Source organism: Homo sapiens, chromosome 12 (assembly GCF_000001405.40).
Source record: "Homo sapiens chromosome 12, GRCh38.p14 Primary Assembly".
NCBI lineage: Eukaryota > Metazoa > Chordata > Mammalia > Primates > Hominidae > Homo > Homo sapiens.
In genome coordinates, this window is record NC_000012.12 from 50,526,390 (window position 1) to 50,538,804 (window position 12,415).

The 12,415-nt window shown below is 43.4% G+C and overlaps 1 protein-coding gene across 1 annotated transcript in view, besides 3 other annotated features; it reads left to right on the forward strand.

The window, feature by feature from the left end:
- The window catches only part of DIP2B (disco interacting protein 2 homolog B), a 243,673-nt gene that overhangs the window by 21,405 nt on the left and 209,853 nt on the right, over positions 1–12,415 (forward strand). The window lies entirely within an intron of this gene.
- Positions 3,342–3,842: an enhancer, noted in NCBI's record as "H3K4me1 hESC enhancer chr12:50923514-50924014 (GRCh37/hg19 assembly coordinates)". NCBI's record gives its function as "activates a minimal SCP1, AML or CMV promoter by ChIP-STARR-seq in naive H9 embryonic stem cells {active_cell/tissue: H9 hESC(naive)}" and the evidence as "EXISTENCE:reporter gene assay evidence [ECO:0000049][PMID:30033119]".
- Positions 3,843–4,343: an enhancer, noted in NCBI's record as "H3K4me1 hESC enhancer chr12:50924015-50924515 (GRCh37/hg19 assembly coordinates)". NCBI's record gives its function as "activates a minimal SCP1, AML or CMV promoter by ChIP-STARR-seq in naive H9 embryonic stem cells {active_cell/tissue: H9 hESC(naive)}" and the evidence as "EXISTENCE:reporter gene assay evidence [ECO:0000049][PMID:30033119]".
- Positions 6,553–6,622: an enhancer, noted in NCBI's record as "active region_6357". NCBI's record gives its function as "activates an Ori minimal core promoter by ATAC-STARR-seq in GM12878 lymphoblastoid cells {active_cell/tissue: GM12878}" and the evidence as "EXISTENCE:reporter gene assay evidence [ECO:0000049][PMID:35858748]".

The window sequence follows — 12,415 nt, forward strand, 5'->3', positions numbered from 1 at the left end:
CTTTTACAGTTGGGTGATATGTGACAACTTTCCGTTTCTTCAGTCTGCCTGACTACTTTGCTTATCCAATTCATTTGGTATTTATTATGCAAATACTTTCAGAATACACAGCTCCAAGCCTGGGACAGTGCTTGGGTGAGAGCTGGAGCCACGCCACTGTGCTCCCTGAACAGGAGGCAGACACTTCTCATTTTTTTGTGTACTTTGCACATGCATTGATTCTCTTTTTCCTCTGCCTTTTTTTTTTTTTTTTTTTTTTTTTTTGAGACAGAGTTTCACTCTTGTTGCCCAGGCTGGAGTGCAATGGCGCGATCTCGGCTCACTGCAACCTCTGCCTCCCGGGTTCAAGCGATTTCCTGCCTCAGCCTCACCAGTAGCTGAGATTACAGGCCTGTGCCACCACGCTTGGCTACTTTTTGTATTTTTAGTAGAGACAGGGTTTCACCATGTTGGCCAGGTTGGTCCCAAACTCCTGGCCTCAGGTAATACGACTACCCCGGTCCCCCAAAGTGCTGGGATTACAGGCGTGAGCCACTGCACCCGGCCTTTTTTCCTCTGTCTTAACCAAATGTAATATCCGTAGGATCTGATCTAAAGCATAAGTTAATTAGGTGGGTTTTTCTGTAGACCAGACATTGTAATAAAACCAAAATCAGTTTTGTTTTGGTTTAATGGGTCCTGGTTGGAAAAAAACTGAATATTTCACATGCCTGGTTTTTCAACGTCTTTTCTTGGCTACATTCCATCTTTGGCAAAATGTTGGAAAACCATGGAAGTGAAATAATTAGCCATATGGCAAATATTGGTTTTGTTGAACCAAGTCAGACCTTTGGTCAGTTTATTCTAGTTTATGCAAACAGTGTGGCCAACTACCAAGGACGTTCATGGGCTGTGCATAACATGTCCAACTGTACACACAGAGTATTTGTCTCTTAGGTCCTACCCACGTTATCTCAGGTCTCTTTGACTACCTATATCTAAGGTACTGTTCAAACACTAAATTAATTGTAATTTTGCACATAGGAAAATAACAAAAATCTTATTTACTTATTATATTGTGAACTTCAGGTTTGTCTTTATGGCTGAGAGATAAAACTTGTGAAACATCTTAATAACTAAGATTATCCTTGGCCGACAGCACTTTGGGAGGCCGAGGCGGGAGGATTGCTTGAGGCCAGGAGTTCAAGATAGTGAGACTCTGTCCCTAGGTGGTTATGGTGATGTGCACCTGTAGTCTCATCTGCTTTGGAGTTGAGGCTGCAGTGAACTATGATCGTGCCACTACACTCTAGGCTGGGCGAAAGAGCAAGACCACATCTTAAAGAAAAGATTATCCTTTTTCAGTACAAATTGGAAGAAACATGATTAAAATAATTATTAAGTGTTAAAACATGATTAAAATGATTAAAATGTTAATTAACAGAAAATCACCATTGTCAGAAGTGTATTTGTTCAGAATCCTGAATTTGATTTATCTTCTTTTTCTTACAATTTCAGTTGTGGAAAAAAGTGCTTTTCATTAGAGATGGAAATTCCTTCTGTTTTTTTTTTTTTTGGAGACAGAGTCTTAGTCTGTCACCCAGGCTGGAGTACAGTAGTGTAATCACGGCTCACTGCAGCCTTGACCTCCCAGGCTCAGGTGATCCATCTGCCTTAGCCTCCCAGGTAGCTGAGACTACAAGCATGCACCACCATGCCCAGCTAGGTTTAAATTTTTTGTGGAGATGGACTTTCACCATGTTGTCCAGGCTGGTCTTGAACTCTTGGACTCAAGCAATCTGCCCACCTCAGCCTTCCAAAGTGTTGGGATTATAGACGTGAGCCACTGTGCCTGACCCTTCTTTTTTTTTTTTTTGGTAGTCAGATTTAGTGTCTCAGTGTCCTCATCCATAAAATGAAGATGATAATAGTATCTACGTTGTAGGATTGATGTGAGCACTGAATCAGTTACTATATAAAAGTATACTTTGGGAGGCTGAGGCGGCAGGATTTCTTAAGGCCAGGAGTTCAAGACCAGCCTGGGCAACATAATGAGACCTGCTTTCCAAAAAAAAAAAAGGAAAAGTATAGTGATTAGTATAGTGTCTGGCACACAGGAAGCAGTATAAGTCTATTATGCTGCTGTGCTATTTTATATTTCCAAACGTCCATCCATGCAGAAGTTGTGATTAGTGAACAGAGTATCTAAACTGGGCATATGGACCCAAATGTGTTTTCCAGCTTTATCTAAAGCAGGATGATAGTTTAAGCCATGAGAATAGATGAGTTCACCCAGGAAAGAGGGCTTAGAGTGAACAGAGAAGAGTATTTCTGATAGAATCCTAAGAAATGCTAACATGGACAGAGGAAAAGAAAGCTTGCAGAGGCGACTGCAAAGACATGGCTGGAGGTTTAGCAAGAAATCTAGAGAAGGGATGTCAGGAGAGTTGGGGGCCAGGAAGACAAGAGAGAATGATCAAATATTGCTGCAAACAAAAGAATGGTTAAGCATTAAGGTGGATTTGTTAGGTTTAGCCACAAAATGATTTGTGATTATGAACTTGGTGAGAGTGGTTTTAATGCTGTGGTGTGAGGATCAGAAGCCAGAGATTATAATGGGTTAAGGAGTGATTTGGAGGAAATGGGTAAGTTTCAAAAACAAAACAAAACAACTTTTAGTGAGTTTTACTGTGGTTAGGAGGGGCAGGACATGGCAGTACTTTCTTATAGTTATTTTGGGGGAAGATAGGATACTGTAAACAACTAGTCAGGTGTGGTGGCATGCGCCTGTAGTCCCAAAATAGTCCCAGTTACTCAGGAGGCTGAGGTGGGAAGATACCTGAACTCAGGGAGATGGAGGCTCCGGGAGCTGTGATGGCACCATTGCAACTCTTGCCTGTACGACAGAGTAAGACCCTGTCTCAAACAAACAAACAAAAACTGTAAACAGTATCTTTATTGCATAATAAATGTCATAAGGGAGACATGTTCAAGTACTTGAAGGTGCTTAGGTGCAGGGCATTAGTGTACATGTAGTATTCTGGGAAGGACTGTCCAATGGACCAAAGGAGTTTGGTGGGCTGACAGATGAGGGGAGGAGGCTGCTTTAGATTTGTCAATCATTGAAGCGTGTTTGAGGAACTGTGATGATTTAGTCACTGCTAGAACATGGAATGTAAGTCCAGTGAGCCAGGACAGTGGTTAGGGCTGACAGCATGGCAGGGGTGGGTTGTGCCTTGTGGCCACACCCATAGAATCTTACATTTTATCCTGTAGGTCTTTGCTTCCCAATGGGGATTTGTATTGATGTTCCAGGGGTACTCAGAGCTACAATCCAAAAAGTAGCCGGGTGTGGTGGCGTGTGCCTGTAATCCCAACTACTCAGGTGGCCAAGGCAGGAGACTCGCTTGACCCCGGGAGGCAGAGATTGCAGTGAGCCGAGATCATGCCATTGTACTCCAGCCTGGGTGACAGAGCGAGCCTCTGTCTCAAAAAAAGAAAAAAGAAAAAAGAAAAAAAGCTACAGGGTAAACATAGCGTGCCTTCTTAGAATATCCATTAAATTGAATTTCACGGGAAATTATTGCTATAGTAAAGCATGAATTGAAAATTAAGATCAAACATAAATTTTAACATTAAAAAATAATGCATTGTTCTCTAGTGGCTGGCTTCTTCAGGCTGTGCCTCTTCTGGGCCTTCCATTCCTCCATCACTTTCATTTTTTTTGAGACAGGGTCTCTCTCTGTCGCCCAGGCTGGAGTGCGGTGGCGCGATCTCGGCTCACTGCAAGCTCCGCCTCCTGGGTTCATGCCATTCTCCCGCTTCAGCCTCCCGAGGAGCTGGGACTACAGGCACCCGCCATCACGCCTGGCTAATTTTGTTTTTGTATTTTTAGTAGAGACGGGGTTTCACTGTGTTAGCCAGGATGGTCTCAATCTCCTGACCTCATGATCTGCCCGCCTCAGCCTCCCAAAGTGCTGGGATTACAGGCGTGAGCCACTGTGCCCTGCCTCCTCCATCACTTTCTTCAGGGGAAAGAGCATCATATAGCATCTTTGGGAAGAGCATTCATGGGAAGCCACTGAAGTATTGTAAGCAGGAGTGGATGACATCTGTGTTTGTTGGAGATCGCCTTAGAGGAGAATAGTTTCAGGTTGCTGTGTCACACAACCAAGTGATACTATTTACATAGAAAAAGTGCAAAATAGCCTTAAATAAGAGCAGGTAAGACAGGGCAGGAAGACTTACAGGAGGCTACTGAAATGAGCTGTCTCTGCAGTAGGATTAGGGAAGAGGGAATGAAAAGAAGTATTTAAGCAGGGAGAATTTACGAGACTAGTATGGAGGAGGAGGAGGTGTGCACAGAGATTTGTAGGTGTGATAGGAGAAAGGCGGACTGGTAAGTTTCTTCCTTAGGCATCTTGAGAGAAAGATGGCACCATTTCCTAAAACAGGGAATAGAGGCAGAAGAACAGTTTAGGGTGTAGGGGGAGAGAAAATTCAGTTTTACTGAATTTGAGAGGTTTTGGGGACATGCAAATGGAGATCTGTAGCAGCAGTTGGGTGTGTGGATTTGGAGTTCTGTAGAAAGGCCTGTCCTGAAGATATACATTCAGTATTCCTTAGCATGTATCGCTGATAGTGGAAGCAGTGGGCATGATTGAGATTGTCCAAGGAGAGCATATTATATATGTTGAGATGGAGTCTCGCTCTGTCGCCCAGGCTGGAGTGCGGTGGCGCAATCTCAGCTCACTACAAGTTCTGACTTCTGGGTTCACGCCATTCTCCTGCCTCAGCCTCCCGAGTAGCTGGGACTACAGATGCCTGTCACCACGCCTGGCTAATTTTTTTTTGTATTTTTAGTAGAGATGGGGTTTCACCATGTTAGCCAGGATGGTCTCGATCTCCTGACCTTGTGATCCGCCCACCTCGGCCTCCCAGAGTGCTGGGATTATAGGTGTGAGCCGCTGCACCCAGCCAAGGAGAGCATATTGAGTGAGCAGAGGCTAAACACAGAACTGGAAAGCACCACCATTTAAGGGGGAAGCTGAAAAAAAGAACCTGGAAAAGAGGTCAGAGGGGTATGAGTGACCAGAGGGAGAAGAGCAAAACAACAAGGAGTATTAAGTGTCTCTTGTTGCATAGAGTTTGAGACTAGGACTGAGAAAATGCAATTGAGATTACAAGCAGAGGTCATTGGTGGTGACCTTTGCCTAAGCTGTTTTAGTAGGGTTTAGGGACAGGGTTGGGGCAAGGAAGGGGCACTGCAGCCTGTTGAAAGTGGATAAGGAATGCAAAGCAGAGAGGAAGTGGAAGTAGAGGCAGGCGGGGTACCCTGCTGTTTCAAGCCTGGCCGTGTGAGGTGGAGAGAAAGGAAGTAGCTAGGATATATACACATTCATCTGTTCTTTGTCTCTCTCCTCACTAGAAAATAAGTTGCCTGAGGGCAGGAACTTAGTTTTATTCACTGCTTTATCTCCAGAGTAAAAAATTGCTCCTGGCCTGTAGTAGGCACTCAACAAATATTTGATGGCCAAACAAATGAATTATGTTAAGAAGGTAGAGACTTGAGTGTGTTCATTTGTTGGTGGAGGGGTAAGAGGTCTTGGGGAGGAGGAATTGAAAGTCTAGAGTAGAAAGATGTGATGGAACGAGGTCTCCCTGAGTCAGCAAAGCTTGAGACCCTAAGTGCTGCTGGAGTGATCATTCAGGATGCCAGGAATGACTCCTTTTCTGCTGAAACAGAAGGGAAGAAGGAAAGGATGGGAGCAGAGGCAGATACTCATAGGTGATGGATGAGGAAGCTGAGGGAGTTCTTGCCTAGTGGCCTTATGAGTATTCTCTGAGTTAAAAATAAGAGTGTTGGCCGGGTGCGGTGGCTCATGCCTGTAATCCCAGCACTTTGGGAGGCTGAGGCAGGCAGATCATTTAAGGTCAGGAGTTCCAGACCAGTCTGGCCAGCATAGTGAAACCGCGTGTCTACTAAAAATACAAAAATTAGCCAGGTGTGGTGGCATGCGCCTGTAATCCCAGCTACTTGGGAGTCTGAGGTGGGAGGATCGCTTGAATCTGGGAGGTGAAGGCTGCAGTGAGCCAGATCGCACCACAGCACTCCAGCCTGGGCGACAGAGCCAGATTCTGTCTCAAAAAACAAAAAACAAATAAAAATAAGAGTGTAATATATGTATCCTTGGAACATGCATTGTGAAGACATACAAAAAAACCCACCAGCATTTAAGCAGCTGTGCTTCTGTGGAAAGTCACTGTGGTCAGTGACATGAAAGGTAGGTGAGGTGAGGATGTGCCAGAGAAGATGAGTAAGAGTAGGTGAGACAAGAGGTCTCTAGTCTCAGCTGGGAATGTAGGGTGTGGTTTGACCTGAGAGAAGGGAGTGTGGGTAACCCCCTTTCCTCTAGAAGGAGCAGGGCGCTGTCCTTGGGCTCTCAGGGAAGTGGGGGAAGAAAGGGCAGTGTATAAGTCTTACTCTTTCCTGTGTGAGAAAAAACGCAGAGAAACTTAAGCCTTGAGTGAATTAGAGTAACTCTTTGTTAGTGACTCCTCTGGCCCTCACCGGGCTGGTTTTTCAGTGATCTATTTCTGATTCATTTGACAGGAAACTGCTTTCCCAACTTTTACAAGCTGTTATCTAAAATGGTTTGTGTGCTTAACAGCAAAGGTAGTAGTGAGAAGGAGGATGTGACAGAGTCACAGTGAGTCATAAAGAACAAGACATGACCATATTTGTTTACCTCATCAGGTTTTACATAGAATTAATTTAAAGAATATTAAAGTGTCCATTTTGTTTTAATTAGCAGTTGTTTAGTAATAAGTTCTCATGCTTTGGAATTCTCTGTTTTCAGTCTCATCAAATTCAAGACTACATATTTCTCATGACCTTTCTGGAAGGGAGAGGAGAGTAGTAAGGATGAGTCTTGTAGTCTTCTAGTCTTCAGTTGAAATTAAATAACCCAACCAAGATGATTGTTTTTCTTTTGCTGTCAGCCTTATCAGCCATTACTGCAGGTCAACCCCTGACAAGTTGTGTAGGGTGAGGGTAGCGTCGAACTAGAGTTTTGGCTGTTGCTGTTTTGCATTTTGTGTGTGTTTGCATGTGTTCTCTGTAAAGTGAGCAGAGGATCCTTCAGAAAGGGAGCAGATTCCAAGGGTAAGAAGGGATTTCACCTACAGGAAGTTGTGGATTCTAACCATTTTTTAACTGCCCTATCAAGGAAGACAACTTTTTTCCTTTTTTTTTTTTGAGACAGGATCTTGCTCTGTTGCCTAGGCTGGAGTGCCGTGGTGTGATCACAGCTCACTGCAACCTCTACCTCTTGGGCTCAAGCAATCCTCCCGCCTCAGCCTCCCAAGTGGGCACCATGCTGGCTAATTTTTAAATTTTTTTAGACAGAGATTCTCACTACTTTGCCTAGGCTGGTCTTGAACTCCTGGGCTCAAGTGATCTGCCTGCCTTTCAGCCACCCAAAGTGCTGGGATTATAGGAGTGAGCCACTGAGCCGGGCCTAACTTTATATTATAAAAAGTACCTGTTACTTTTTGGAGATGGGAGAAACTTTTTTCCCCCCTGTGACAGAAGGTGAAATCAGAGATTTGAGGTATGATAGTTGGAACTTGGTATTATCATAATTAGAATTCATCAATACTTAGAATTCATTTTTTTCTAAGCCATCTCCTTACTCTAACTCATTCCCCATGATTCTAAATTTTTTAGTCATTAGTCAACTAGTTAGAACTCCAATTAGGCATGTATTCTGGGGAATAAAATATGACTTTATCAGCATTTTGGGGAACTCAGGGACAAGAGATTCATCTGGTCAAGTTGGCATCAACAGGCTGAGGACTCATTTCTCATTTTCATGGAGAACCAAGTTTTAGCCAAATCCTTATTTTCTGGGAATTTATATTATGTATGTGTGTCTAAAAAAACACTTTCAAGACTTTTGAAACCCAATGACTGGACTCTTTTTACACATTCTCATTTCATTTTTTTTTTTTTTTTTTTTTGAGACGGAGTCTCACTGTGTCGCCCAGACTGGAGTGTAGTAGCGCAATCTCGGTTCACTGCAACCTCCACCTCCCAGGTTCAAGTGATTCTTCTGCCTCAGCCTCCTGAGTAGCTGGGATTACAGGCATGAGCCACCACGCCCGGCTAATTTTTGTACAGATGGGGTTTCGCCATGTTGGTCAGGCTGGTCTTGAACTCCTGACCTCAGCTGATCCACCCACCTCGGCCTCCCAAAGTGCTGGGATTACAGGCGTGAGCCACCATGCCCGGCCTCAGTTGGTTTTTAGAGAAATCAACTGGACAGCATTCTGAGATTAGGAGAATGTCAGAGACAGTGAGGTAACATGGAAAAGATTGTGGGTTTGGGTTTCACTTCTGTTTATAAGCTTTGTGACCTTGGGCAAGTCATTTAACCTCTCCTATCCTTTGGGAGATGAAGTGGCTAGATGAGAGAATCTAGTTCTTCCTAGCTCTTAGTTCCTGAGATGACCTATGATTAGATCTGTTTATCAAAGTATATGAAAAGGAGATCCTATTTTAAATTCACTGGAACAGGGCCTGGCGTGATAGCTCACTTCTATAATCTCAGGACTTTGGGAGGCTGAGGTGGGTGGGTCATTTGAGCTCGGGAGTTTGAGACCAGCTTGGGCAAGATGGTGAAGCCCTGTCTCTACAAAACAATATTAAAAAATTAGCCGGGTGTGATGGTGCATGCCTGTAGTCCCAGCTACCCGGGATGCTAAGGTGGGAGACTCACCTGAGCCCAGGAGGTCAAGGCTGCAGTGAGCAGTGATTATGCCACGGCACTCCAGCCTGTGAGACAGAGTGTGAGCCTATCTCAAAAAGAAGAAAAAATAAATTAACTGGGCAGTTATTTTTTAAAGAAAATCCAGGCCAGGCCTGGTAGCTTATAGCTGTAATCCTAGCACTTTGGGAGGCCAAGGCAGGACGATTGCTTGAGCCCAGGAATCAGGAAATTTTTTTTTTTTTTTTTTGAAACAGAGTCTCGCTGTCACCCAGGCTGGAGTGCAGTGGCACAATCGAGGCTTACCGTAACCTCTGCCTGCCAGGTTCAAGCAATTCTCCTCCCTCAGCCTGCCAAGTAGCTGGCATCACAGGCGCCCACCACCATGCCCGGCTAATTTTTGTATTTTGTTTTAGTAGAGATGGCGTTTCACCATATTGGCCAGGCTGGTCTCAAACTCCTGACCTCAAGTGATCCTCCTGCCTCGGTCTCCCAAAGTGCTCGGATTACAGATGTGAACCACCACGTCTGGCCGAGCCCAGGAATTTTTTTTTTTAAATTTTATTTTATTATTATTATACTTTAAGTTTTAGGGTACATGTGCACAATGTGCAGGTTAGTTACATATCTATACATGTGCCACGCTAGTGTGCTGCACCCATTAACTCGTCACTTAGCATTAGGTATATCTCCTAAAGCTATGCCTCCCCCCTCCCCCCACCCCACAACAGTCCCCAGAGTGTGATGTTCCCCTTCCTGTGTCCATGTGTTCTCATTGTTCATTTCCCACCTATGAGTGAGAATATGGGGTGTTTGGTTTTTTGTTCTTGCGATAGTTTACTGAGAATGATGATTTCCAATTTCATCCATGTCCCTACAAAGGACATGAACTCATCATTTTTTATGGCTGCATAGTATTCCATGGTGTATATGTGCCACATTTTCTTAATCCAGTCTATCATTGTTGGACATTTGGGTTGGTTCCAAGTCTTTGCTATTGTGAATAGTGCCGCGATAAACATACGTGTGCATGTGTCTTTATAGCAGCATGATTTATAGTCCTTTGGGTATAGAGCCCAGGAATTTGAGACCATCCCAGGCAACAAAGTGAGACCTTATTTCTACTAAATACGTGCATACATACATACATACATACATACATACATACATACGCCAGGCTGCATGGTGGCGTGAGCCTGTAGTCCAAGCTACTCAGGAGGATTGCTTGAGCCCAGGAGGGAAGGCTGCAGTGATCATAGCAGTGAGCTATGATCATGCCACAGCCTGGGCAACAGAATGAGACCCTATGTCTTTAAGAAAGAAGAAAAAATCAATTCATGTATAGTGAGAACCATCATTCCCTAATTTATACTCAGTCAAAAGTTACATGTTGAATATTCTTTTTAAAATTTTATTGACAAATAATAATTGTGTTTTGTTTTTTTTTTTGAGACAGGGTCTCACTTTGTCACCCTGGCTGGAGTGCAGTGGCGTGGTCTTGGCTCACTGCAACCTCCCTCTTCTGGGTTCAAGCGATTCTCCCACCTCAGCCTCTCGAGTAGCTGGGACTACAGTTGCATGCCACCATGCCCAGCTAATTTTTGTATTTTTTGGTAGAGACGGTGTTTCTCCAAGTTGACCAGGCTGGTCTCGAACTCCTGACCTCAAGTGATCTGCCTGCCTCGGCCTCCCAAAGTGCTGGGATTACAGGTGTGAGCCACAATAATTGTATTTTTTTTTTTTAATGTTGAACTGTCTTAATGCAAGGCATATGCTTAATTATTCAGAGTGTGTGCTGTTGTTTTGGCCTAGTGAGGATTAGGGGACAGGACTTTAGTTCTGACTCTGACACCTTGTAGCCTGTTGAATCCTTCTCCTAATCTCCTTTCTCCCCTACCCCCAAACTCATTATCCTGTGCTTTTTTTTTTTTAATTTTTTTGGTCACACTTACCAGATTGCTTGTTTATTATTCTCTAATTTTTTTTTTTTTTTTTTTTTTTTTTTGTAGAGACAGGGTCTCACTTTGTTTCCCAGGCTGGTCTTGAATTCCTGAGCTCAAGCGATCCACCTGCCTTGGCCTCCCAAAGTGCTGGGATTATAGGCTAGAGCCACTGCACCTGCCAGATTGCTTTATAATTGTTTGTTTACACTTCTCTATTCTTCCCAGAGGCTAGAAACCATGTCTTATTCATTTTTACCTTACCTGTTGTGAAACATTGAGGGAAGGAAATCGGTAGGATGTGAGGGAATAGGTAGGGATTGAGTAAAAAATGGCCCAGATTTTGAGTTTGAGTGACCAGGCGAGTGATAGTGTGTTATATATACAAACATCTGAGTTGCCGGTTTGGGGTGAAGAGTTTAATTTTGGACATGTTGGAGTCTATGACAATGTGGGAAGACCATCCCAGTCAACAAATGGCATTGGGAGGACATTCGAGTGGCTGTTCAATAGGCAGTTAGAAGTGGTGAATTATATCCTGGAGCTGTTGAAGGATTTGGGCATCATCTTCATGTGATTCATCAGGTGAATCAGATCTTTGAAAAGGAAAGTAAAAAATGAAGCTAATGAGGAATGCCTCTGTTTAGGAAGCTAGAGGAGAAAGAAGAGTCATCCAAAATGACAGGGGTGATCAGTCACAGAAGTAGGAGGTGGACTGGGGTGGGTGGTGTGGTGCTTCTGTGGAGACAAATAGTAATGTTAAACCTATGGAGAGCTTAGGATAATTCAGTGAGAGAATACAAAGGACTGGATTTGTCAGTTACAGTCCTGTGGCAGAATCAGAGGCTAGATTGAAAACGGGAATGAGGACATAGAAATGGTGAGCGCAGGCTTCTTATTTTGAAGTTGGGAAAAAGGAATAAAGAACAAGGATGGATTCAAAAGAGTACTTATTTATTTTACTTTACTATTACTTCTTAATAGATACCGAGGAGTCTTCATAGGGCTAAGGGAAAGAGACAGAGGAAAGAAAAGCTTGTGTTGGTGTGGGAGAGCTGGGCATAGGTTAGATCTCTGGATGTGTGGAAGAGGTGAGCTGCTTGAGAACAGGAGGGCAGGGCTGCTGTTCTCTCCTTCTCTAATAAGAAGAAGAGGATGAGTGAAAAATTCCACCTCAGAGGGAGGTTGGTGTGGGGATAAAGGGAAAAGGTTCAGAAAGGTGAAAGCTTAAGGGTTTGAGAAATGTGAAGAGAACAAGTGCATCAGCCATCGGGGAGTGTGAGAGGAATTAATGAAACACTGAAAGCATTGCCGATAGTCAGCATGAATTTGGAGTGGACACAGAAGTATGAAATGGAAAATAGCCCCACCCCACCTCCGTGCCCAGTCCCACTTCCCAAAATGTAGCTACTTTCTAAAGTCAGTTTTGTAGTTCCTGTAGTTAATAGTGTAACTTTCAGTAATATGTTGCAGTCAACAGTGTCTCTTGATCCCCTTCTGTGAACCATGAGAAATTTACCCATTTCTTGTACTCTTTTCTTCCTGAGTTTTTTTTTGTAATAATATTACTATTTTTCTGTTATCAAAGTAAATAATGTTTATATTCTCTTTTGTATAACAAAAATTAGTCTTCACTCTGTATGTACAAATTAAGCCTAAACATATTCCACACATACAGTTTTTGCAATATTATTAAGTAAATATTATTTACTTTGGAATCTAGAGGTG